Genomic DNA, 26,460 nt, shown 5'->3' on the forward strand with positions numbered 1-26,460 from the left:
GGGAAAAAAATGACCTAAATGCAACAAATCAATCAGATTTTTCTCCTTGGAGTCCAAGGTTGACTAAATATCTTTACTATAACAGAGGATGACATTCTCAAAGAATGAATTAATTCTAAATTATGAACAAAAATATTTTACATCAAAAGACAGTTTTACTTCAAATAATATGTACTCACAGCTAAGTACAGTACTGTTACATATTAGAAGACCACCTTACACCATATTTCGCCACATTTAAAACGAGAGCTCCACTTCTGAAAACTTTGCTAGTGGAAACGAGACAATTTAAACTATTACCTCTTCCAGGTCTTGTTACATAAATAAGTGCAACCTATCTAAATTCCAATAATGAACAAACCCAGCTCTGGTCTCAAAGCTGGTGTTAAACAAACGGCATTTACATCACACGCTTCTCCTCCAAGAAATACAACTAGACAACCAGAAACATCCCAAGTTATAAGTTTTCCCACGACTCTAACCAATCAGCTGGTTCTCATATTTGTCAGCCCTATTAACCTTATGTCTTAAAATACATACATATTCTTATGTCAAATATAGTTGTTTCTAACAGCTACAGCAAAACCCCTTTCAATAGAGTATGCCAATAATAAAATAAGTATATACTTATGAAACCTCTCCAGTACGTAACACTTCATTAAAATTTCTGCCACAAAAATCTAATGAACACTACCTTTCCGGGGTTTACATGTGGGAAAACTTTGTAATATGCTTAGAGTATCAAGTAATATAACATGCAAACACAATGCTGCATTACTACAGAGTAACTGAAGAAAGTATTTCTCCTCCTCCAAAAAAAAACTCAATCATTCTCATCCGAAATACATATACACAGTACACGCAAAAATATACACCTGTCACAGACTATTAGTTACTATTAGTGTTCTGTAAACTTAAATTAGTTTGGAGAACTTAACAAAAGTTTAGCTTGTTAACACCTAAAAATCTCCAGCGACCAGCGGTCACATGCCTGAAAAGAACTTACTATGAACGCCAGTAAGAACTTTACCAAACCAAAACTACAAGCCACCGTATCGAGCAGTACTTAAATTCCTCTGCTGGTAAATGCTCCACAGCCATCACAGCCATCTCAAGTTCAACACTAAATAGTTTGAGAAGAGCTGCCGACGGGCCAGTCAAAAATCTTTGTGAACTGTCACAAAAGTCACAGAGCATGTGTCAGCTTTGCAGTCCAATTCAAAACATCATAGTGCCATCGAATTCAAGCGATTCCCAGAGCAAATTATCTCGAACAGCCTATGCAATTTACCAAAGTGCCAAGCAGTCCCCAGGGGTGCAGAGCAAATTATCATTTTGGTCCCAGGACCGGCTCCTCTTCACACGAGGATGAATTTCCCTACTTAGTGCCAACTGTACACTTGCATACTCCGAAAATAGGGGCAAGCCGTGAATACCAGAGGTTACAAGGGCAATGTTTTATTTTATTATGGGCTGAAGCTCAGAAGGCTCCCAATGCTGAAACGCTCGACCTATAACCCCGGAGTCACTTTCCAACTGCGCTCTCACCCAGGGTCATTATATCCCAAACGGAAGCCAATCATTACCTGTAACAAGGCCTGGAAAAAATAGCAAGAGGGCTTTAAAAGTTCACCTAAGAAACACCGAAACGGGGTGGGGAGTGGGTGGCGGGGCTTCGATGGATAAGGCCAACCTTAAAGCATCTCGGACTCAAACATTTTAAAAGCCAAAATACGTACAAAGACCCTTTTCCCTGGAAGACCCCAGGCAGAGAGAGGCACACAGACACTCAGTCATCCCGACAGCATGGGGTGCCAAGGGTTCCCTAAGACCAGCAGCCGGGATCGAAGCTCCGATGTGTCCGGGGAAGGTCTGGGAAGCCAGGCCAGGTCCGCATTGTGGCCGGGCGGTGCACGCAGCCCCTGCTCCCGGGCCCCTTTCTCTCCCCCTCCCCACGACCAGGCCTCTCCCCGCTCCTCTCCCCTTCTCCCTTCCTCCGTCCCTCCCCTCCCCCTAGACACATACAACAAGGCCACCTCCCCCCGAACCCCACCAACTTTCCAGTGCCCCCACTCTTCCCACCTCTCAGGAGCACACAGAAGCTGCAGGCCAGGAGGCTCCTCAGGACGGCCCCCATCTTCCCTTCTCGCGTTCTCTTCTCTCACCGGCGAGGGGTGGCCAGAAGTGGGGGAGGCGAGGAGCCGGGGCGGCCGCCGCAGCGGCAGGGCTGCACGCTCATACTTCCCAGCTTCCCAGCGAGAGAAGAAAGAAAGGGGCACGTCAAGGTTCCGCGCGCGCCGCCGCCGCCCTCTCTACCGCGCCGCTCGGCCCCGGGCTCGCGCGACGCCAGCGTCTGCTTCCATCCCGCCGCCTCCTCCCCCGGCGCCCCGCTTCCCCCGCGCAGCTCCTCATTCAGCCTCTGCCTCGCGCAGCGGCGCAGGGATACGGTCGGCACCGCCTCCTAGGGTCGCCGCGACCGTGTCCCTGCGCGCAACGAGCCCCTTCTCCCGGTACTGCCTCCTGTACGGCCAGGGAAGGGAGTCGGCAACCGCACGCACAGCCTCTGCCTGAGACCCTGGGAGAGGTTCTGGGCTAGCAGAGGCGAACTGGGAGGGAAAGCCTCCTCCCGGTGGCGCATTCCAGCGGGATTCTTTCCCGGACCGGCCGCTTCGGCCCTCCCCGCGGAGGGCGTGAGGCGGCGTTGAACAACATTGGAGCCGGCGTGGTCGGGACTACTTTCTGCGGCTCGGCCGGGCAGCCGTCTGCCCCGCTCTTTGTGCGGCCGCCGCCGGCAGGGCCAGGTGGGGCTCCGGTCTCGCGCCCCCAGCCACCTGAGACTGCCCAGCCGCGGTGCACGCGCGGGGAGCCACGGCGGATCCCGTTGCGGGGTGATGAGCTCCGTCTTCGGGGTTGGAAATCGGTTTCAGCATCCTTTTTTTGGGAGGGCGGAATTTTTGAACGCTGTTTACACCGGCTTTCAGCGTGGATCTGGTGAACGATATTAAAACGCCAATTCAAAACTGAGATTGTCATTTTTCTCCCGCCTTCCCAGAAATACAAACTGCCCCCAGAATTAAGCCCGACCAGCTAAAGATTTCTAAACTGGCAGATAAAATTCCAAGATAAATGCCTCAAAACCTAAGAGCAAAGGGACAATTGGACAAGACTATTTAGGATTTTACAAGTTGCATATAATAACGAATGTTTGGCATGCTTCGATTATCAATTCTCAGCTTGAGAAGGAAAAGATTCCCTAGAATCTCAGACTGTGCACAGCCTCTGCTACTCCCAGTGCATTGGGCATTCAGGAGTAATGGCCCAGACGCCCCCTGAAATCACCTGCCAGGCTTTCGTCTGGGCAGAGGCGCTCCAACAGTTAACCCTAATGGAGCCATCAGATGCATCCTGCCCAGCTGTCACACGCCCTTACCTGGAGGCAGATGGGCAAGAAAGTGGAGCTGCTACCACAATGTTAACAAGTACCTCAGTGACATTGGAGTTCACTAGTGCTTGAACACAAGTTATCATATTTGACACTCAAAACTACCCTGGGGAAAGGCAGGTTTTGTTACTTATTCTTTATTGCACAGAGGAGCAAAATGAGAACCTGAGAGGTTAATGACTTACCCAGGGCCACTCAAGTAATGAATAGCAGTACCTCAGCCCAATCCAGGTCTCTGACTTAAGCCACTCCGCTCCTTCCAAGAAATGCGCGCTGAACCAAAGGTGCTGCAGGTTTGTAAGTAGATGGACAGCAGAAACAGCCAAATCACTTTCTCCCAAATTCACCTGAGGTCTAGTCACCGTTTATTTAAATGACCTGCTTCTAAGAACCAAGTGAGTTTTGTATTCTGGCTTCCTCAAAGCAGGAAACTGGGCCGGGGGCGGGTGGCTCAGGCCTGTAATCCCAGCACTTTGGGAGGCCGAGGCGGACAGATCACGAGGTCAGGAGTTCGAGACCAGCCTGGTCCAACATGGTGAAACCCCCGTCTCTACTAAAAATACAAAAAAAATTAGCCGGGCATGGTGGCACACGCCTGTCATCCCAGCTGCTCAGGAGGCAGAGGCAGGAGAATGGCTTGAATCCAGGAGGCGCAGGTTGCAGTGAGCCGATATCGCGTCATTACACTCCAGCCTGGGCAACAGAGCAAGATTGCGTCTCAGAAAAAAAAAAAAAAAGAAAAGAAAGTTAACCTTCACTTTCACAGGCCCCTTCCAATGTCTGGGGAGGGGCCTTTATGGTATGTTCACATGGTCCTATTTGCAAAACAAAGATAATTTTGAATTCCTCTTCTGTATAATTGTATTATACAAAATTGTATAAGCTTCAAGTCCCACAAAGCCTGGATCTGTCCCTATTTATAATAGAAAATGCGGTACAACTGGCCGGGCACGGTGGCTCACGGCTGTAATCCCAGCACTTTGGGAGGCCGAGGCAGGCGGATCACGAGGTCAGGAGATCGAGACCATCTTGGCTAACACGGTGAAACCCCGTCTCTACTAAAAATACAAAAAATTAGCCGGGCGCGGTGGCGGGCGCCTGTAATCCCAGCTACTCAGGAGGCTGAAGCAGGAGAATGGCGTGAACCCGGGAGGCGGAGCTTGCAGTGAGCCTAGATAGCGCCACTGCAGTCCAGCCTGGGCGAAAGAGCGAGACTCCGTCTCGAAAAAAATAAAATAAAATAAAAAAGAAAATGCGGTACAACCTAAATCTCCTCAGACTATCAACCTAAGTAGGGGAATGAGATATTACACACTGCTGAAAAATAATAATTTAGAGGATTATGCAACAGTGTTGAATGTTTATAGTGAGTTAAGCTTTTTTTTTTTTTTTTTTTTTTTTTGAGACGGAGTTGTGCTCTTGCTGCCTGGACTGGAGTAAAATGGCACAATCCCGGCTCACCACAACTTCCTCCTCCCAGGTTCAAGTGATTGTCCTGCCTCATCCTCCTGAGTAGCTGGGATTACAGGCATGCGCCACCACACCCAGCTAATTTTGTATCTTTAGTAGAGACGGGCTTTCTCCATGTTGGTCAGGCTGGTCTCGAACTACCGACCTCAAGTGATCCGCTCTCCTTGGCCTCCCAAAGGGCTGGGATTACAGGCGTAAGCCACCGCGCCCGGCCGAGTTAAGCTTTTAAAAAGTGAAAGTGCATGTACATTTGATTATAGCTATGTAAAATAAAAATATATATAATATACAAACATAAATGCACACACATATATATAGCACATATTTGAGCAAAGACCAAAAGTAAGTGCACTAAAATAGGCATTAGGATGGTGAAATAATATGAGATGTAGTTTGCTTTTCTGTTCTTCAATTTTGTTTAATGTACTATATATTTACTACAAATTTTTAAAAGATGCTTAAGTGAAAATCTATAGGTTAAGCTTAAGCCCTAGAGAGAATGCCATTATTACTGCATAACTAATTTTGTTTCTCATTCTTTTAAGTGCCAATCAGATACCAATCACTCTGTTAAGTGTTGGGGATATAAAGATGAGAGTAATCATAGTCCCTACCCTCAAGAAGCTTACAGCCTAGTTTGGAAACACTGATTAATAAAGTGAGTAATTAAAATATTAAAATCTGCAGGGCACAGTGGCATACAACTGTAATCCCAGCACTTTGGGAAGTCAAAGTGGGCAGATCACTTGAGCCCAGGAGCTCGAGACCAGCCTGGGCAACATGGCGAAACCCCATCTCTACAAAAAATACAAAAATTAGCTAGACATGGTGGCGTGTACCTGGAGTCCTAGCTATTCGGGAGGCTAAGGTTGGAGGATCACTTGAGCCTAGGAGGCCAATGCTGCAGTGAGCTGTGATCTTGCCACTGCACTCCAGCCTGGGCAATACAGTGAGACCCTGTCTCCAACTAAAAAAAAAAAAAAGACAAAATTGCTAAGTGTAGAGATGCTTTTCTGCCTAGACAATTCAAAGAAGGGAAAAAAGGGCCAGGCGCAGTGGCTCACAACTTTAATCCCAGCTACTCACGAGGCTGAGGCACAGGAATCACTTGAACCCAGGAGGCGAAGGTTGCAGTGAGCCGAGATTGCGCCCCTGAACTCCAGACTGGGCAACAGAGTGAAACTCTGTCTCAAAAAAACAAAACAAAACAAAACAAAAGAAGGGAAAATAACCCTAGCGCTGAGGTTGGAAATACAAATCAGACTTTGCCAGGCCAACAAGACTGAAAAAAAATTTCAATCACAATAGTAGGTTTAAAGACACTGAATCATTAGAGAACTTAGTATGTTGGGGATTTGAAAGTAGATTCATATAGCTGATGCATGGAATGCTTTTAGAGAATGTCAGGAATTGAGGCAGGACCATTAAATAGCTATTGATTAATAAAAACCTTTTCAAGCCATGCTAAGAAGTTTAGATTTTAGCATATTAACAATGCGGACATTGAAGAATTTTGCACATTGTACAGAAGTCTATGAAAGGGGCAATCAGGACAGCAGCGCTGAGGACTGAAAAGACATCATGGATTTAAAGAATACGAGATTAAAACAGGACTTTTAGTTGTGAATTGAGAGAGAAACAGAGAGTAATGGGAGTCTCCTTTACAAAGAAAAGAAAACCTAAGAAGTATTTCAAGAAGGAGTGGGTAATAAGTTTAACAATGGCTCTTTTGTATTGGAGGTGTCTATGAAACATCCAGGTGGAGGCCGGGCGCGGTGGCTCACGCCTGTAATCCCAGCACTCTAGGAGGCCGAGGTGGATGGATCATCTGAGGCCGGGAGTCCGAAACCGGCACGGCTAACATGGTGAAACCCCATCTCTACTAAAAACAGAAAAATTAGCCAGGCATGGTAACACGTGCCTGTAATCCGAGCTACTCAGGAGGCTGAGACAGGAGAATTGCTTGAACCCGGGAGGCGGAGGTTGCAGTGAGCCAAGATCACGCCATTGCCACCCAGCCTGGGTAACAGAGTGCGACTCTGTCTGAAAAAAAAAAAAAAAAAAAAAAAGGCCGGGCGCGGTGGCTCACGCCTGTAATCCCAGCACTTTGGGAGGCCGAGGTGGGCGGATCACGAGGTCAGGAGGCCCAGACCATCCTGGCTAACACGGTGAAACCCCGTCTCTACTAAAAATACAGAAAATTAGCCGGGCATGGTGGTGGGCGCCTGTAGTCCCAGCTACTCGGGAGAATGAGGCAGGACAATGGCATGAACCTGGGAGGCGGAGGTTGCAGTGAGCCGAGATTACACCACTGCACACTCCAGCCTGGGCAACAGAGTAAGACTCTGTCTCAAAAAAAAAAAAAAAAAAAACACTTATTGAAATTGCTACCACTGGCCGGGCACGGTGGCTCACTCCTGTAATCCCAGCACTTTGGGAAGCCGAGGCAGACGGATCACGAGGTCGAGAAATCGAGACCACCCTGGCCAACATCGTGAAACCCCGTCTCTACTAAAAATACAAAAAAAAAATTAGCCGGTCATGGTGGCAGGCGCCTGTAATCCCAGCTACTTGGGAGGCTGAGGCAGGAGAATCGCTTGAACCCGGGAGGCAGAGGTTGCAGTGAGCCGAGATCGCGCCATTGCACTCCAGCCTGGGCAAAAAGAGTGAAACTCTGTCTCAAAAAAAAAAAAGAAAGAAAGAAATTGCTACCACTAAAGAAGGTATGATTAGTAATGGCAAATGCAGTGTTAACTGTTAACAACAGAGAGTCTGCTGTGAGAAGTGCTGAAAAGAGGGCATTGTGACTATAACTTTCTCGAACGTCATTGATGGGAACATACATTATGCCAGTGTTTTAGAAAATCAGTCTGGGAGTAAAATACATACACCTTTAAACTGAAACGCTGGCCGGGCGCGGTGGCTCACGCCTGTAATCCCAGCACTTTGGGAGGCTGAGGCAGACAGATCACCTGAGGTCTGGAGTTTGAGACTAGCCTGGGCAACATGGTGAAACCCCTGTCCCTACTAAAAATACAAAAATTAGCTGGGTGTGGTGGCAGGCACCTGTAATCCCAGCTACTTGGGAGGCTGAGGCAGGAGAATCGCTTGAACCCCGGAGGTGGAGGTTGCAGTGAGCCGAGATGGCGCCACTGCTTTCCAGCCTGGCAACAGAGTGAGACTCCATCTCAAAAAAAAAAAAAAGCCTACAAAAATGACAGTTTTCCTGGTTCAACCTAATCAAAAGAACCTGAAGCCTGCTTTTTAAAAAAAATCACAGATAAAGTGCACAAAATAGTCATTGGTGACTTTAAGCCAAAGCAGTTTCAGCAGAGGTATGAGATCCAAAGCAAAAGTGCAGTGAATTGAGAAATGAAGGGGAAACAGGGAGGGAGGGCAGTGGTTTTTCCCAAATCTTATTGTTAAAGGAAAGAGAACACTTGGGTGGCTGGAAAGGAATGTGAGGCTGGAGGAATCTGGGAGTTGACTTAGTTAGGGTTGATTGCTTACTTTGTTTTTAAGTTTGAGAGGAATGTGATCATATTTGTAACCTGAAGTAAGTGATCAAATAAAGAAGGAGAGTGAGGAAAGTGATTCAGAGACTTCAAGAGGATCTGGAGCCTAGCAGAATGGATCAGCCTTGGATGGGAGGAGGAGCAGGAGGATTTCCACTTCTGGAGGAGAGGAGAGTCAGTGTGGCTGCTTGACCTTCAGCTCTCCTTTCTCCACTCCCACTTTCACAGACTCCTTCCAGAGGCCTTGGGAGGGACCATGGCAATGATTAGGATGGTCATATGTTTTTATACTACTTGCAAAACCAAGATTGTTTTAGTATTCATTTTCTTTAAAATATCTCCTTCTCCAGTTGTATATGCTCAGCACTACAAAACCTGAATCTGCCCCTAGTAGCTATAAATAGGTTTCATGGGGAAGGGATAGTGGAGACAAGATTTGATTGCCTTCATTTACATAAAAACAGAAAGCAAAGTCTACATTGAGAGTGAAGTAAGAAAGAATATGGTGGTCGGGGAGGAGGTCAGGAAAGTGACAAAGGTTTGGAGAAGCTGGGAATGGAAGAGGGAGTTGACAAAGGACACATTATAGGATCCTCTAACAGCACAGAGGATGCTGCTATAACTCCCTACCAGAAATGTGGTGTATATCATGAAGAGTGGCCTTCTTGCCTCTATTTTTCTTTTTTCTTTTTTGAGACAGAGTCTCTCTCTGTCACCAGGCTGGAATGCAGTGGTGTGACCTCGGCTCACTCCAACCTCCACCTCCAGGGTTCAAGCAATTCTTATGTCTCAGCCTCCCAAGTAGCTGGGATTACAAGCGCGTGCCACCATGCCTGGCTAATGTCTTTCTTTCTTCCTTTTTTTATTTTTATTTTTTTATTATTATTTTTTTAATAGTAGAGATGGGGTTTCACCATGCTGGCTAGGCTGGTCACGAACTCCTGGCCTCATGATCTGCCCACCTCGGCCTCCCAAAGTGCTGGGATTACAGGCATGAGCCACCGTGCCCTGCCTTCTTTCTTTTTCTTTTCTTTTCTTTTCTTTCTTTTTTTTTGACAGTCTTGCTCTGTCGCCCAGACTGGAGTGCAGTGGTGCTATGTCAGCTCACTGCAAGCTCCTCTTCCCCAGTTCACGCCTACTGCCTCAGCCTCCCGAGTAGCTGGGACTACAGGCGCCTGCCACCACGCCTGGCTAATTATTTGTATTTTTAGTAGAGACAAGGTTTCACCGTGTTAGCCAGGATGGTCTCAATCTCCTGACCTCGTGATCCGCCTGCCTCGGCCTCCCAAAGTGCTGAGACTACAGGTGTGAGCCACCGCACCCGGCTTTTTTTTTTTTTTTTTTGTATTTTTAGTAGGGGCAGGGTTACGCCATGTTGGCTAGGCTGGTCTCAAACTCCTAGCCTCAAGTGATCCAGACTTGAGGGACAAGTGTTCCAGACTCCCAAAGTGCTGGGATTACAGGCATGAGCCACTGCGCCTGGCCCATCTATTTTTCCCTCCTTCAATGGGAATAACACTTGTTCCTAGCTGCACCATGAAAATATCACATCAGATGCCTAAGAAGAATTCACTATAATTAGAAAATAAGTATACTTTGGGGCCAGGCATGGTGGCTCACGCCAGTAATCCCAGCACTTTGGGAGGCCGAGGTGGGCAGATCACCTGAGGTCCGGAGTTCAAGACCAGCCTGATCAACATGGAGAAACCCCGTCTCTACTAAAAATACAAAATTAGCCAGGAGTGGTAGCACATGCCTGTAGTCCCAGCTTCTCGGGAGGCTGAGACAGGAGAATCGCTTGAACCCGGCAGGCAGAGGTTGCGGTGAGCCGAAATCACTCCATTGCACTCCAGCCTGGGCAACAAGAGCAAAACCTCGTCTCAAAAAAAAAAAGAAAAAGGAAAAGAAAGAAAAGAAAAGAAGTAACTTTGTTTTCAATAATATTTTTCTTTTTTCAACATCAGCTATATAAACCCCCTGTAAAGTCTATTAAAACATGAAAAATAAATTAAACGCTATACATTAAATTTCTTACGTTTGTCCCAAACAGGATGAAAGGATATCTGCAATAGAGGGTAACCTGGAAAAGGGAAGCGGAGCCAGAGAAAACAGAGGAGGGAGTCCATTCAGGGGAGAGGATGATGGCGGTGTTAGAATATTGGTTACATCCAGCCTGGCATGGTGGCTCATGCCTGTAATCCTAGCACTTTGGGAGTCCGAAGTGGGTGGATCACAAGGTCAAGAGGTCAAGATCTGCCTGGCCAAGATGGTGAAACCCCGTCTCTACTAAAAACTACAGAAATTAGCTGGGTGTGGTAGTAGGTGCCTGTAATCTCAGCTACTCAGGAGGCTGAGGCAGTAGAATCACTGGAACCCGGGAGGCAGAGGTTGCAGTAAGCCGAGATTGCACCACTGCACTCCAGCCTGGGTGACAGAGTGAGACTCCATCTCAAAAAAAAAAAAAAAACCAAAAAAAAAAAAGAATATTGGTTACATCGAGAAGGATTAATCTACTAAGTAAATATATTAAAGATAATGGAATCAGAGTTTCTAACTATCAGAGAAGGAAGTTACAAATACAACAAAGATACCTTGGTGCCAATGGCAATGAAAATGGTGGAGTAAGAAACTCTAAGGGTAGGGAACTCTCTTCCTTTGCAGAAACACTGAAAAAACTGGCAAAAGTCATGAGAAACAACTTTATTAGAACTCTAGAAGATAGTCAAAGGTTTACAGCAACCAAGCTAATGCTTAATAAGGATAATGGGCACTGAATCATGGTAGGAGAGGTTTGTCGTGTTTTACCTTACCCTTGTCCAATCCCCCTGCCCAGTGCAGCAGCAGTCTAGAAGACAGCAGCCCATGCTCTCAGTGCAGGTTCTCAGTTTGGGAGGTGTGTTAGGCCATTCTTGCGCTGCTGTGAAGAAATACCTGAGACTGGGTAATTTACAAGAAAAGAGGTTTAATTGGCTCATAGTTCTGCAGGCTGTACAGAAAGCATGGCACCAGGATCTGCTTCTGGGGAGGCCTCAGGAAATGTTTACTCATCACCGAAGGCGAAGCAGGAGCATGCACGTCACGTGGTGAGAACAGGAGAAAGAGAGAGAGTGAGGGCAGGTGCCACACACTTTCAAACAACCAGATCACATGCGAACCCAGAGCAAGAGCATCACCAAGGGGATGGTCCAAGCCATTCATGAGGAATCTGCCCCCAAGATCCAAACACCTCCCACCCAGCCCCAACTCCAACATTGGGGATTACATTTCAGCATGAGATTTGGGTGGGAACAAATATCCAAACTATATCAGAAGGGAATGGAGGGAATCTTGTTCCTGAGAAATTGTGTTCATAGGTTTTAATCTGTTTGGGGGATCCCCAAGGGGACTAATGCAGGGTACTTGCCTTTGTTCCACTTACCTCAAAACTCTCTCAGGATAGAAAAGTTGCTTTGTGGAAGAGGTTTCTCAAAAACATTGGACAGCCAATGAATAAAGCCCAGATGCCTAGAGCAAAAGATAACAGCTGTGGCAAAAAAAATACACTTGTAGAAAGCCTGAGAAGAAAAACTTGGGGATTGATATACTTGCGGAATAAAGGCTCTGAAAAGCCCCTGGTTATGTAGGGGAATCAAAAAGGCCCAGGCCAGGATACATCCTCAGAAAAGGTCTGAGAACACCATAGGCTTCACCTCTGGTTGATTTTTAGGCTTAGCACAAGTAAGAAGTGAAGGCTAAGGCAGAGTTATAAATGGTGTGGCTAGTCAGCCGGGTGCAGTGGCTCACACCTGTAATCCCAGCACTTTGAGAGGCCAAGGCAGGCAGATCATGAGGTCAGGAGATCCAGACCATCCTGTCCACTATGGTGAAACCCTGTCTCTACTAAAAAATACGAAAATTAGCCAGGTGTGGTGGCATGCACCTCTAGTCCCAGCTACTCAGGAGGCTGAGGCAGGAGAATTGCTTGAACCCAGGAGGTAGAAGTTGTAGTGAGCCGAGATCGCGCCACTGCACTCCAGCCTGGGCAACGGAGTGAGACTCTGTCTCAAAAATAAATAAATAAATGGTGTGGCTGAGCATTGAAGTATTGGCACCAACACAGAGCCAATTTGCAAAGACCTGATGGTACTTTTTCTTTTTTGCCTCTAGGAGTTTAAGAAAATCTTTGATAAACCATTAGCTGACTACTATGCTAAAAAAACAGAGACCACACAATTCAAAGAACCGTATAAAATAGTTTAGAAAAGTCACTAAACAAACAACCACAACCTACAGAGAGCAACAAAAAATCCTGGAATGGGGAGAATTTTATTTCCAGAGTTACCGCATTGTTATATTCAAAATGACCACTTTTCAACAAAAAATTATGAGGCATGCAAAAAACAATGAAGTGTGCCCTGTTCATAGGAAAAAAAAATTAACAAAAACAGTCCTTGAGAAAGCATAGGCATTGGACTTACTAGACAAAGACTTCAAATCAACTCTCTTAAATATGCTCAAAGAACTAAATGTAGCTGGCCAGGTGCAGTGGCTCATGCCTGTAATCCCAGCACATTGGGAGGCCAAGGCAGATGGTTCACCTGAGGTCAGGAGTTCAAGACCAGCTTCACCAATATGGTGAAATCCCATCTCTACTGAAAATACAAAAATTAGCCAGGTGTGGTGGCATGTGCCTGTAGTCCCAGCTACTCGGGAGGCTGAGACAGAAGAATTGCTTGAACCTGGGAGGCAAAGGTTGTACTGAGCCGAGATCGTGCCACTGCACTCCAGCCTGGGCAACAGACTGAGACTCTGTCTCAAAAAAAAAAAAACAAAAAAACTAAAGGAAGCCATCATGGACAAAGAACCAAAGGAGAACAGTGTCTCAACAAGTAGAAAATATCAATAAAGGCAGAAAAATTATTTAAAGGAACCAAATAGAAATTCTGGAGCTAAAAAGTGTAATAAACTGAAAGAAAAAATTCGCTAGACACATTCAACAGCAGATTTAAGCAGTCAGAAATATCAGAAAACTGAAGATAAGTCAATTGAAATCATCCAGTCTGAGAAGCAGAAAGAAAAAAGAATGAAGAAAAATGAACAGACACTAAGAGAATTGTAGGATACCATCAAGTATATCAATATATGCATAACAGGAATCCCAGAGGGAGAGGAGGGATAGAAAGGAGGAGAAAGAATACTTGAAAAAAATAACTTAAAAACTTCCTAAATTTTTTTTTTGAGACAGAGTCTCACTCTGTCACTCTGTCACTCGAGCTAGAGTATAGTGGCATGAACTTAGCTCACTGCAACCTCCACCTTCCAGGTTCAAGCTATTCTCATTCCTCAGCCTCCTGAGTAGCTGGGATTACAAGTGCGTGCTACCACTCCTGGCTAATTTTTGTATTTTTAATAGAGACAGGGTTTCACCATATTGGCCAGGCTGGTCTCGAACTCCTGACCTCAAGTGATCTGCCCGCCTCGGTCTCCCAAATTGCTGGGGTTACAGGTGTGAGTCACTGCGCCTGGTCAACTTCCTAAATTTAACAAAATAAATGAACATCTCAACAGATACACAGGAATTACAAATAAAGAAACAGAGAAAACTAGAATGACCCTGTGATGCCATATTAATAGGATATATTCATATAAATTCACGATTTTCAATATATATGGATAGGTATAGAAATAAATATAGTTGTAAGTGTGTATATGAATATGTGCATGTATTTGTGTACACATGAATGCACAGATCCTAGCTCTGTCTACCAAGAAAATGTGTTAGTTAAGGCCTACTAATAAGCAGGCACCGAGACAGAATTCAATGTGCAAGAGATTTATTGGGGGAGTGTGATAGCCTCCAGCATGGTCCCTAATGATTCTCACCTCTTGGTAGTCACATCCCTGTGAAATCCCCTCCCACACTGAGTAGGACTGACCTATTACTGCAGTGACAGCATGAGACTTTCAGGCTAAACAATAAAAGACATAGTAGTGTCTGTGTTGTTCTATTGAAACAGTCACTGTAGGGGGAGAATCAGCTGCCATGGCATGAGATACTCAAGATGCCCTATGGAGTCGTCCATGTAGTAAGGAACTGAGACCTCCTTCCAACAACCAAGTGAGTCATCTTGGAAGTAGATCCTTGAGGCCGAAGCCAAGCCACCATATGACTATGCTTTGGCTGACATCTTCACAGCAACATCATGAGAGATTTCAAGCCAGTGAAGCTGCTCCAGAATTTCTGACCTATAGAAACTGTGAGATAATAAACACAATCGACCCTTGAAAAACGTGGAGGTTAGAAGTGCTGACCTCCACTCAGTTGAAAATCCATGTATAGCTTTTTTTGTTTTGAGACAGAGTCTCACTCTGTCACCCAGGTTGGAGTGCAGCGGTGCAATCTCGGCTCACTGCAATCTCAGCCTCCTGAGTTCAAGCGATTCTCCTGCCTCAGCCTCCTGAGTAGCTGAGATTACAGGCATGTGCCACCACACCCAGCTAATTTTGGTGTTGTTGTTGTTGTTTTTGAGACAGATTCTCACTCTGTCGCCAGGCTGGAGTACAGTAGCGTGATCTCGGCTCACTGCCACCTCTGCCTCCTGGGTTCAAGTGATTCTCCTGCCTCAGCCTCTGGAATAGCTGGGACTACAGGTGCGCACCACCACGCGCAGATAATTTTTGTATTTTTAGTAGAGATGGGGTTTCACCATGTTGGTCAGGATGGTCTCTATCTCTTGAGCTCGTGATCCCCCCACCTTGGCCTCCCAAAATGCTGGGATTATAGGCGTGAGCCACTGCGCCCAGCCCTAATTTTTGTATTTTTTAAAAGTAGAAACAGGGTTTTGCCATGTTGGCCAGGCTAGTCTTGAACTCCTGACCTCAGGTGATTCACCCTCCTCAGCCTCCCAAAGTGCTAGGATTATAGGCCTGAGCCACCGTATCAGCCCATGTATAACTTTTGACTCCTCCAAAACTTAATTACTAATAGCCTATTGTCAACCAGAAGGCTTACTGGTAACATAGTTGATTTACACATATTGTTTGTTATATTTATTATATATACTGTATTCTTACACTAAAGTAAGCTAGAAAAAAGAAAATGTAATTTTATTTTTCATGAAAATCTTAAGGATGAGAAAATACATTTACAGTACTATACAGTACAGTACTGTACTGTGCTTATCGATATTGCAAAATTACATAAAGATGGATACTTTGAAGTAATGGGTAATGGTATGCAGACCTCAATCTACAGTACATACCAAGCAATTCCACTTTTTTCTTGTAAGGTCATGACTTTTTTCTGCTTCTTGGGAGCACTTCCAGCATCACTAGTGGCACTTTGCATGGGTTCCAGGATGTTATTCAAGGGTTTATGGTATTGCACTAAATGCGATAAAAAACGTGCAAGATCCACGAGAAATCACTTTTCACTGTGAAATGCCATTTACTGGAAAGATCAGCTGCTCACACAGAGATGAGTAGCATCCCACTGGGTTTTAAGCAGATACTCACAATACTTGATCTCATCACAATAGCAATAGGAGGTGGCTGTGAAATTATAACAGTAGTACAGTATATACAACAGTTAATTTTATGCAGTTATGATTTCATATTGCATCTTTACATTTGTTTACATTTATCTAGACGAAAATGAAGCCATGTATGGTCTGTATTTGTGTGTGTAAGTTTTGATAAATTTCAATTTTTTGGAATAGATTTGTGTATAATTTATGGTAGTAAATGACAAAAATAGACTAGTATCTACATATATTTTGTGCATTCATGACATACCTAACTTTTTCTTAATTTTTTTGCTATTTCTAGGGTATATGGTTTATCTTCAAGTTTTTTCAAATTGTTGCCAATCTCCAAAAAAATTCCAATATATTTACTGAAAAAAGTTCATGTATAAGTGGACCCACTCAGTTCAAACCTGTGTTGTTCAAGGGCAAATTGTACTTATTTTAAGCCACTACATTTTGGGGGTAATTGTTACACAGTAATAGGTAAGTAATACCAGTAGAAAGTAAGAGAAGGAAGAGAGATTCCTCACGCTGAGATGCAGATCTGACATTTCTAGAAGGAGAGAAGAATGAAGGATTGGAGTAGGACAAGTCTTGGACTACTGCATTGTTCCAAGAATGAATTTACCAAGCAGATTGGGAGTCCCAAGCCAAAGTTGTCCCCTAGAGGATTCCTGTATTTTGCCAGAACAGACCTACCTTAGTACCCCTGCTGGGCTCAGGCACTGACTGGGAATAACCCTTTAAAAGTTGGCCTCAGTGTGAATAGGGTGATAGATTTAGGAGGCAGTAGTTGGGGCTATCTGTCAATTATGCTCCCCACAGCAGGAGAACTGAGTGACACATTTCATAGCTATCACAGCAGGCCTGGAAGAGATGACAGCCCAATAGCAATGAGCAGAGCTAGTGTCAAGATGTTAGCTTCTTTTTTTTTTTTTCAGACAGAGTTTCGCTCTGGTTGCCCAGGCTGGAGTGCAATAGTGAGATCTCAGCTCATTGCAACCTCCGCCTCCCGAGTTCAAGCGATTCTCCTGCCTCAGCCTTTCGAGTAGCTGGGATTACAGGCCCCCACCACCATGCCCAGCTAATTTTTTGTATTTTTAGTAGAGATGGAGTTTCACTATGTTGGCCAGGCTGGTCTCAAACTCCTGACCTCAGGAGATCCACCCACCTCAGCCTCCCAAAGTGCTGGGATTACAGGCATGAGCCATCATGCCAGGCTCAAGATCTTAGCTTATAAATAATATTTTCCTTGAAAAGGAACCAGGGCTCCTTAGAGAAATGGCTGATCCCACATCTGAGGCAGGAAAAGTATAAGATGAGTCTGGAACAGCTGGTAGTGACAGAGCAAGGAAGGGCTCAAGAAATGACAGAAACATGTGAAAAGGACATAGATGCCAGCTTGAAGGGACTTCCACTGGTCAAATCAGGAACAATTTGAGCATCAAAATTAAAAATGGCAGTAAGAGATTATAACCCATTGAATAAAATAAGGAATTATGGGTTCAAACAGACATAAAGACATATACATACATACATACATACATACACACACACACATCAAAAGTTTGATGAGGAATGGGATATTTACGTGGTTCATGGTGGACAGATACTGCCCAGATCAAAGAACCAAAGTCAAAATCATTAGTAATAGGACAAATTGAAATTATGTGCTACCTGATAGGATATAAGAAGAAAGCAGTTATCACTTCTATGGTATTCCTCTAAAAGGTGTATAACCTGAATGTAATCATATGAAAACACCAGTAAACCCCAAATTAAGGGACAAGTTACAAAATAACCGACCTGTTTTCTTCAAATGTATCAAGGTCATGAACGTCAAGGAAAGACTGGGGAATTGTTCCAGGCTGAAGCAGACTAGACAGACATAAAGACTCAGAACAATGTGTGATTCTGAACTGGATCCTATTGCTACAGAACATTTTATTGAGACAATTGACAAAACTTGAGTGAGATCTGAGGATTAGGTAGTGATCATGTATCAATGTTAATTTTCTAATTTTGATGGTTGCACTGTGATTACGTAGGAGAAGGTCTTTATTTGTAGGAAACAATACTAAAAATATTTGGGGTGGTGGAGCACCAAGTCCTCACTCTCAAATGGTCAAGGACAAAAAGTCCTTTGCACTGCACTTAACTTTTTTATTCAACTTTGCAAATGTTTCAAAATAAAAAAATAAAAGTATGCATGCTATTTGAAAGATAAACCTGTTATAAATATAAGGTTTTATCATTTAAATCCGGAGAGCTCTTTAACATCTTTAACTTGATGAGTAGCTACCCTCTTTCTTTTCTACCCGTCCAAGCTTACTTTAATTCATTCACAAGACTGAATGGAATCTCAACATTTAAATACTTAATCTCTTTCTTTAATCTTTGGCACCAAGGAACTGGATTTCCCCAGTTGTATGAGTCACCCGATAACAAATTTCCCAGCTTAAATAGTTTTAAAGTTGTACTATTAGTAAGGCAACACTGTTCATTGTGTCTCAGATTCAAGGATTTATAGTAACAATGTGTTTTAGCATGCATATTCTTTTTCAACATATACGTTTTTCTTTGATGCCGTAAAAAGTCTTTCTGATGTTGAACAGTTTTAATGCAGTTATGCCATGATGGAACCACCCCTCTCCTCACTCCCAGAAAATCACACAGCTTGATATGTTTTTAGCCTTCATCTGAATTGTAAAACACTGAATTCTTACAGTTTTCTAAAAGAAAAAGAAAAAAACTTGCCATTGCTATTTTGGGAGCATTTGTCCAGATAAATAAAACACGGTCCTGATCCCACCCTGCCTGTCCTCGCATTTCTGAGAGTGAAGATACAGAACACTGCAGTCAGGGGAGAAAACATATTTTTTTTTCCTTCCCTGTCAGAATCTGTTCCATTGGGAGGTGAAGTATATGAACCCAATTTTTGCCTTGGAGATAAAGAGAAAAAAATCAATTCTACCAAGATTTACTTTATGTGAAAGCACTTAAGCAGATTCCCTAGACATGTGTTTCTGAAGGGTTGCACCCTCCAGCCATCTGACTTTTGGCCAAGTCCAGAGACATTTTAGGTTGTCAGAACTACGGGGTGGGAGATGCTACTGGCATCTTGTGGGTAGAGGGCAGGGATGTTGCTAAGCATCCTACAACATACTAGACGGTCCCCACAAGCGAGTTGGCCAAGTGCGATGGCTCATGCCTGTAATCCTAGTGCTTTGGGAGGTGGACATGGGAGGATCTCTCGAGCCCAGGGGTTTGAGACCAGGCCAACAAACAGTGAGATCTCATCTCTACAAAAAAATAAAAAATTAGCTGGGTGTGGTGGTGCATGCAGGTTGTCCCAGCTATTCAGGAAGCTGAGGCAGGAGGATCACTTGAGCCCAGGAGGTCAAGGCTGCAGTGAGCTATGATCGCACCACTGCACTCCAGCCTGGGTGACAGAGCAAGACTCTGTCTCTAAAAAAAACACAAAGGCCTAGCTCAGTGGCTCACCTCTGTAATCCCAGCACTTTGGGAGGCTGAGCCAGCAGGATCACTTGAGCTCAGGAGTTAAAACCAAGCTGGGCAAGACCTCGTCTCTACAAAAAAGAAAAAAAAAAAAAAAAAAAAAAAGGCCAGGCGCAGTGGCTCACAGCTGTAATCCCAGCACTTTGGGAGCCTGAGGCGGGTGGATTCCTTGACCCCAGGAGGTCAGCTGCAGTGAGCTGTGATTGTGCCATTGCACTCTAGCCTGGGCGACAGGAATGAGACCTTGTCTCAAAAAAAAAAAAAAAAAAAAAAAAAAAAAAAAGCTGTTAGTGCCAAGGCTGAGAAACCCTGTCCAAGATTAATGCAGAGTACAGAGAAGAAAGAAGACCTCAGGAGGAGGGGGGAAACACCAAGAAATACAAACACAAAATTAAAAGAAAAAAAAAAACCTAATAAACAGTGAATTTCACACCAATTTATAAAGATACAGGATTTTAGGGATTAACATTCCTATTTGGTGGCCTTTCAGGATATTGCTAAGAGGACTTTAAGGTCATTTTGAGTTTTTCTACTACTACATTTTTATCAATTCTTTCACCAAGCATTTCTTGAGCACCTACTGTGTGCCAGAGGCTGAGGACACAAAGATGTGAGCTTTTCTCTTCCCTGGGGGAGCTGGGAGATTTTAGTGGTGGAAATACCTATAAATGAAGAATTGGAATTCCAAGGACAAGAGGTAAAGGGCAAGAAAAAGAGTTCTTCTCTATACCAAGCACTCCTGCTTACCTCCAGTCATCTTCATTCCGCTCTCACCAGTGAGTGTTATTCCCTTTTCACAAAAGAAGAAACTGTGAGATTAATAACAAGAGCAGACAAGCAAGTGTCGGGCCCTGTTCTCAATGTTTTAATTAATTTATTTATTTTTAAATTGTTGTTGTTGTTGTTGTTGTTTTGAGACCAAAGTCCCCCTCTGTCGCCCAGGCTGGAGTGCAGTGCTGTGATTTCGGTTCACTGCAGCCCTCGCCTTCTAGGTTCAAGCAATTCTCATGCCTCAGCCTCCCGAGTAGCTAGGATTATAGGCGTGCACCAACGTGCCCAGCTAATTTTTGTATTTTTAGTAGAGACCGGGTTTCACCATGTTGGCCAGGCTGGTCTCGATCACCCAACCTCAAGTGATCCACCCGCCTCAGCCTCCCAAAGTGCTGGGATTACAGGCATGAGTCACCACGCCCAGCCCTCAGTGTTTTCTCATGTAACTCATTTTATTTTTTTTATTAACTCATTTTACTTTCACAACTATCCTTTGAGGAGGGCATTAATATCATCACCTTCGTTTTACATCCGTGGGTGCTGAGGGACCAAGCGTTTAGGTAACTTGTCCAAGGTCCCACAGCCAGGCTGTCTGGCCGCAGAATCCATGCCCTTCACAATCTACACTGGTGCTTCTCTTATGCTTCATCCAAGGAAGAAAATGGTAGATCTGGGCTTAAAAGCCAGAGTGTGACTGGAAACCCAATGCTCTTCTGCTACATGATACTCTCCCCTGTTCTAGAAAAGAGCTCAACATGCTATAGGCTCACAGGTGTCTGATTGCGCCTGAAGAAGTCAAAGTCGATTTCAGTTGGAGGTAGCATCTGAGCTCATAGTGGAGGTATATGCCAGAAGGAAGGTCAGACAAAGGGAGAAGGACAAGAACAGCTGGAATAGAAAACAATAAACTTCACCATGGCTAGCAGTTTGTTGTGGTTGGAATGTAAGCTATACCAGAGCAAAGGACTAAAGAGAACCTAGAGGCCAGGTGCAGTGGCTCACACCTGTAATCCCAGCACTTTGGGAGGCCAAGATGGGAGGATCACTTAAGCCTAGGAGTTTGAGACCGGTCTGGGCAACATAAAGAGACCTCATCTTTACAAAAAAATAAAATTTTAAAGGCATGGTGGTACACACCTGTAGTCCTATCTACTCAGGAGGCTGAGGCAGGAGGATCACTTGAGCCCAGGAGGCTGAAGCTGCAGTGAGCCATAATCATACCACTGTACTCCAGCCTGGATAACAGAGCAAGACCCTGTCCCCAAAAAAAAGAAAAAAAAAAAAGAACCTAGAGAAGTAAATAAGGGTAAGATCAGGAAGTGTGAGCTTTAACTTCCAGGCAAAAGGTAATTATTAAAAGACCATAAGGAGGCCAGGCGTGGTGGCTAACACCTGTAATCCCAGCACTTTGGGAGGCCAAGGCAGGTGGATCACCTGAGGCCAGGAGTTTGAGACCAGCCTGGCCAACATGGTGAAACCCCATCTCTACTAAAAATATAAAAGTTAGCCAGGTGTGGTGGCCTGTAATCCCAGCTACTCGGGAGGCTGAGGCAGGAGAATCGCTTGAACCTAGGAGGCAGAGGTTGCAGTGAGCCGAGATCGCACCACTGCACTCAGCCTGGACAACAGGGTGAGACTCGGTCTCAAAAAAAAAAAAAAAAAGAACATAAGCAGAGCATGATCTGACTTAACATCAACTTGATATCAACCCATACTTTGGAGTCTAGAACAAATATTTCCCATTCCTTTCTGTCCACATGCCCTGCTCTTGTTCTTTTTAATCTCACTTTACCTGGTTTAAATATTTATTTATTTATTTATTTATTTATTTATTTATTTATTTATTTGAGACTGAGTCTCACTCTGTCGCCCAGGCTGGAGTGTGGTGGGACAATCTCAGCTCACTGCAACCTCCGCCTCCCAGGTTCAAGTGATACTCGTGCCTCAGCTTCCCGTGTAGCTGGGATTACAGGAGCACATCACATCTGGCTAATTTTCATATTTTTAGTAGAGATGGGGTTTCACTATGTTGGCCAGGCTGGTCTCAAACTCCTGGCCTCAAGTGATCTGCCCACCTTGGCCTCCCAAAGTGCTGGGATTGCAGGTGTTAGCCACAAGCGCCTGGCCTAAATGTGTATAATGTGGGAGAAGAAGACGAAAAATCTGGACTGCCTTTCCCCTAGCAATTCTCAGCAGCTCTCAATGCCACTCAAGCCTGCTGACCTGCAGGAGTTATTAATGATGACAGAGTGCTGTTGAAAGCAATAAGCAATGTGATGAAATTACAACCAAAATCACGCTTTCTAGATTGATGTGGTTGGGTACATTTTGAGTGACAGTGGTCCTATTAGTAATACTCATATAGGGCTTTATAGTATACCAAGCGTTTTTACATGCACTCTGTTGTTTGATCATCAAAACAAACCAAGGAGGTAGGTGTTATCCCATTTCACAGATGTGGAAACTGAAGCTTCCAGAGCTTGTTTGGGTAAGTAGAAAGAATGAACACAGAACTCCAGACTTCCAGTCTCATCCTCTCTCCTTGCCTTCCTGCCTTGCCTTCCTCCCTCTTTAACAATATTTTCTTTTGTTTTGTTTTTGTTTTTATATGTTTTAATTTTCCCGTATGAGTGGGACAGCAAAAGCCAGGAGACTTGATTTGTCCTCCCCTGTCTTGTGTAGGGTTAGCCCACTGTGGCCCCTACGCTTGCTAATGCAGCCCCGTGATGTTTTTCCAGATCCCTCCTGTCACCCTTAGTGGCTCTTGATCCTGATGGATCAAGAGTGTGCTTCTTGGCTAGGTGCAGTGGCTCGCACCTATAATGCCAGCACTTTGGGAGGCCAAGGTCGGGGGAACACTTGAGGTCAAGAGTTAGAGACCAGCCTGGCCAACATGGTGGAACTCCATCTCTAGTAATACAAAAATTAGCCGGGCATGGTGGCGGGCACCTATAATCCCAGCTACTTGGGAGGCTGAGGCAGGAGAACTGTGTGAACCTGGAGGCAGAGGTTGCAGTGAGCCAAGATCTCGACACTGCACTCCAGCCTGGGCAACAGAGTGAGACTCCATCTAAAAAAAAAAAAACACCACCACCATCACCAACAACAACAACAGAAAGAGTGTGCTCTTTGGCATGGCACAGAAGACTTTCTGCGTCCTGTCTTCTGTCCTCCTGTGACCAACCATCCTGGTTTGCCCAGAACTGAGGGACAGGGGACTTTCACTGCTAAAACTGGGACAGTTCTGGGCAAAGTGGAGCAGTCGGTTACTCTTGTTCTCCCTCTCCAGCTGCCTAATCTGCCACTCTCAAACTCCAACTTCTAAGATCCCAGCAATTGCTGTCCTGTTTCAACCCCCTGCCTTTGCTTATGCTGTTCTTTTTATCGAAAACACATACCTCTACCTTCTCTCAGCCACTTCCTACTTTTTCTTTAAAACTATGTTCTGGGGCCGGGTGCAGTGTCTCACGCCTGTAATCCCAGCACTTTGGGAGGCCGAGGTGGGCGGATCACGAGGTCAGGCGATTGAGACCATCCTGGCTAACACGGTGAAACCCCATCTCTACTAAAAATACAAAAAATTAGCCGGGCGTGGTGGTGGGCACCTGTAGTCCCAGCTACTCAGGAGGCTGAGGCAGCAGAATGGCATGAACCTGGGAGGCGGAGCTTGCAGTGAGCCGAGATGACGCCACTGCACCCCAGCCTGGGTGACAGAGCAAGACTCCGTCTCAAAATAAATAAATAAATAAATAAAACTATGTTCTTAAATGTAGGTACTGATTTCTTTCTTTCTTTTCTTTTCCTTTTTTTTTTTTTTTTTTTTTTTGAGACGCAGTCTTGCTCTGTCACCCAGGCTGGAGTGCAGTGGCATGAACTTGGCTCACTGCAACCTCCACCTCCCGGGTTCAAGTGATTCTCCTGCCTCAGCCTCCCGAGTAGCTGGGATTACAGGTGCATGCCACCACACCCAGCTAATTTTTGTTTTTAGTAGAGATGGGGTTTCACCATGTTGGCCAGGCTGATCTCAAACTCCTGACCTCAGGTGATCCACCTGCCTTGGCCTCCCAAAGTGCTGGGATTACAGGTGTGAGCCACCACACCCAGCTTGTTTCTTTCTTTTTTCAATTAAAAAATATATATATATGGAATGCTGGTGGGGCTCGGTGGCTCACGCCTATAATCCCAGCACTTTGGGAGGCTGAGGCGGGCAGATCATGAGGTCAGGAGTTTGAGACCAGCCTGACCAACATGGTGAAACCCCTTCTGTACTAAAATTAGCCAGGCATGGTGGCATGTGCCTGTAATCCCAGCTAAGGCTGAAGCAGGAGAATTGTTTGAACCCAGGAGGTGGAGGTTGCAGTGAGCCGAGATCACGCCACTGCACTCCAGCCTGAGCAACAGAAAAAAAAAAAAAGGAATGCTTCACGAATTTGTGTGTCATCCTTAAGCAGGGGGCATGCTAATCTTGTATCATTCCAATTTTTGTATATGTGCTGCCGAAGCCATCACCAAAGCATTTGTTTCTTTGACTGTATTGTGAACTGAATGTTTGTGCCCCCCAACAATTATATGTTAAAATACTAACACTGAAGGTGAGGGTAGTAGGAGGTGGCATCTTTATAACGTGATTAGGTCATAAGGGGGAGCCCTTACAAATGGTATCAGTAGATACCATTTGTGGATATCTACTGTGGGTGCAGTGGCTGATGCCTATAACCCCAGCACTTTGGGAGGCCAAGGCAGACGGATCATGAGGTCAAAAGATCGAGACCATCCTGGCCAACATGGTGAAACCTCGTCTCTACTAAAAATATGAAAATTAGCTGGGTGTAGTGGCTCACACCTGTAGTCCCAGCTACTCGAGAGGCTGAGGCAGGAGAATCGCTTGAATCCGGGAGGCAGACGTTACAGTGAGCCGAGATTGTGCCACTGCACTCCAGCCTGGTGACAGAACGAGACTGTCTAAAAAAAAAAAAAATCAAAAACAAACAACAACAACAACAAAAAAAAACAAATGGTATTAGTTTCCTTATAAGAAGAGACACGAGAGAGGTGATATTTTTTTCTCTCCCATATGAGGATACAATGAGAAGATAGCCATCTACAAACTAGAAAGAGTGCCCTCACAAGACACCAGATCTGTCAGCCACCTAATCTTGGACTTCCCAGTCTCTAGAACTGTGAGAAATACATGCTTGCTGTTTAAAATGTTTATTCTTTAAGCCACTTGCTCTATGGTATTCTGTGATAGCATTCTGAATGAAAACAGGCTGTCTCTTCCAGAATATGTTATGCTTCTTTGTAAGGCATCTTTTCATCCCAGTCTGTTGTAGAATTCCTGGCATGTAGTAGGCAAGTAATAAAGCTATGCAAGCAGATCAAATGGTGCTAGGACTCTGTAAGAATTTTTCTCAGTTCCCTTCCACAGATCTCTTGCCAGAGAGAAAAGGTTCCCCTCAGGGCAGCAAGGTAGAAGACTCAAGAAGTGAGCAGAGTTGAGATCATAGAAGGCTTGGCTTTCCATGCTTAGGGGTGCAGGCTTTCATGTGTTTGCAATGGAGAGTCATTAACAGGACAAAAAAAAAATCGGTGGCCCTTTGTCTATGAACTCAATAAGAGCCTGGGCAAGAAAAAAAGAAATGTAGGTAACCAGCCCAGCAAGAATAGCAACAAAGAGGCAACACTCAAGCCTCCTAGTATGTCTAGAGTTCTGTACACCCTCCTCAGGGCTAGAAGGGCCTCAGTGTCTGAGTCTACCTGAGCCCACAGGTGGAAGAACAAAACAGGAAACATTTCCTGACCCAAGAAAATAGTTTAAATTGCAAAGGCACACATTACAGTTAGGTACAATATAAACAATTCCCTGGCACATTTATTGTCAAACTTTAGTGTACGTCAGAATCACCTGTAGGGCTTGTTAACACAGAGATTGCTGAGTCCCATCCTCAGAGATCTGATTCAGTAGGTTTGAGATGTGGCCTGGGAATCTGCATGTCTAACAAGTTCCTAGGTGGTGCTGCTGGTCTGGAGACAATGCTTCTAGGACCACCACTCCAGAACCCACTCCACCTCTCTCTCATCAACGGATAACTTGCCTGTCCTTGATTCAAGGCTTGCCTCTTTCCTTGCTAACAACATCCCTCAATCTCCTTTCAGGGACTCATTCTCCTTTGGACATTTTCAGATCTGTGCTATGGGTGGGGAGGACAAAATAACACCTTCCCTCATCAGAGCTACC

At 44.9% G+C, this 26,460-nt stretch overlaps 1 protein-coding gene and 1 pseudogene across 15 annotated transcripts in view, besides 4 other annotated features; both read right to left on the reverse strand.

Annotated features, from left to right (window-relative positions):
* LRP6 (LDL receptor related protein 6) overlaps positions 1-2,446 on the reverse strand; it is a 151,020-nt gene extending 148,574 nt beyond the window's left edge. For 14 of the 15 annotated variants that reach the window (NR_182264.1, XR_002957325.2, NM_002336.3 and 11 more), the window contains exon 1: positions 2,083-2,446. Coding sequence is in view for 10 of the 15 variants with exons in the window: in NM_002336.3 (NP_002327.2) it covers positions 2,083-2,137 (55 nt within the window). In the remaining 5 variants the exon portion in view is untranslated. The remainder of the gene's footprint in view (positions 1-2,082) is intronic. The other variant, NM_001414253.1, reaches the window with a different exon arrangement.
* Positions 2,137-2,446: a silencer, noted in NCBI's record as "silent region_4251". NCBI's record gives its function as "represses an Ori minimal core promoter by ATAC-STARR-seq in GM12878 lymphoblastoid cells {active_cell/tissue: GM12878}" and the evidence as "EXISTENCE:reporter gene assay evidence [ECO:0000049][PMID:35858748]".
* Positions 2,453-3,089: an enhancer, noted in NCBI's record as "NANOG-H3K27ac-H3K4me1 hESC enhancer chr12:12419985-12420621 (GRCh37/hg19 assembly coordinates)". NCBI's record gives its function as "activates a minimal SCP1, AML or CMV promoter by ChIP-STARR-seq in naive H9 embryonic stem cells {active_cell/tissue: H9 hESC(naive)}" and the evidence as "EXISTENCE:reporter gene assay evidence [ECO:0000049][PMID:30033119]".
* Positions 2,627-2,676: an enhancer, noted in NCBI's record as "active region_6010". NCBI's record gives its function as "activates an Ori minimal core promoter by ATAC-STARR-seq in GM12878 lymphoblastoid cells {active_cell/tissue: GM12878}" and the evidence as "EXISTENCE:reporter gene assay evidence [ECO:0000049][PMID:35858748]".
* Positions 19,173-19,714: an enhancer, noted in NCBI's record as "H3K27ac-H3K4me1 hESC enhancer chr12:12436705-12437246 (GRCh37/hg19 assembly coordinates)". NCBI's record gives its function as "activates a minimal SCP1, AML or CMV promoter by ChIP-STARR-seq in primed H9 embryonic stem cells {active_cell/tissue: H9 hESC(primed)}" and the evidence as "EXISTENCE:reporter gene assay evidence [ECO:0000049][PMID:30033119]".
* On the reverse strand, positions 24,629-24,731 carry RNU6-318P (RNA, U6 small nuclear 318, pseudogene; annotated as a pseudogene).

This window comes from Homo sapiens, chromosome 12, assembly GCF_000001405.40.
Source record: "Homo sapiens chromosome 12, GRCh38.p14 Primary Assembly".
In the NCBI taxonomy this organism is placed as follows: Eukaryota; Metazoa; Chordata; class Mammalia; order Primates; family Hominidae; genus Homo; species Homo sapiens.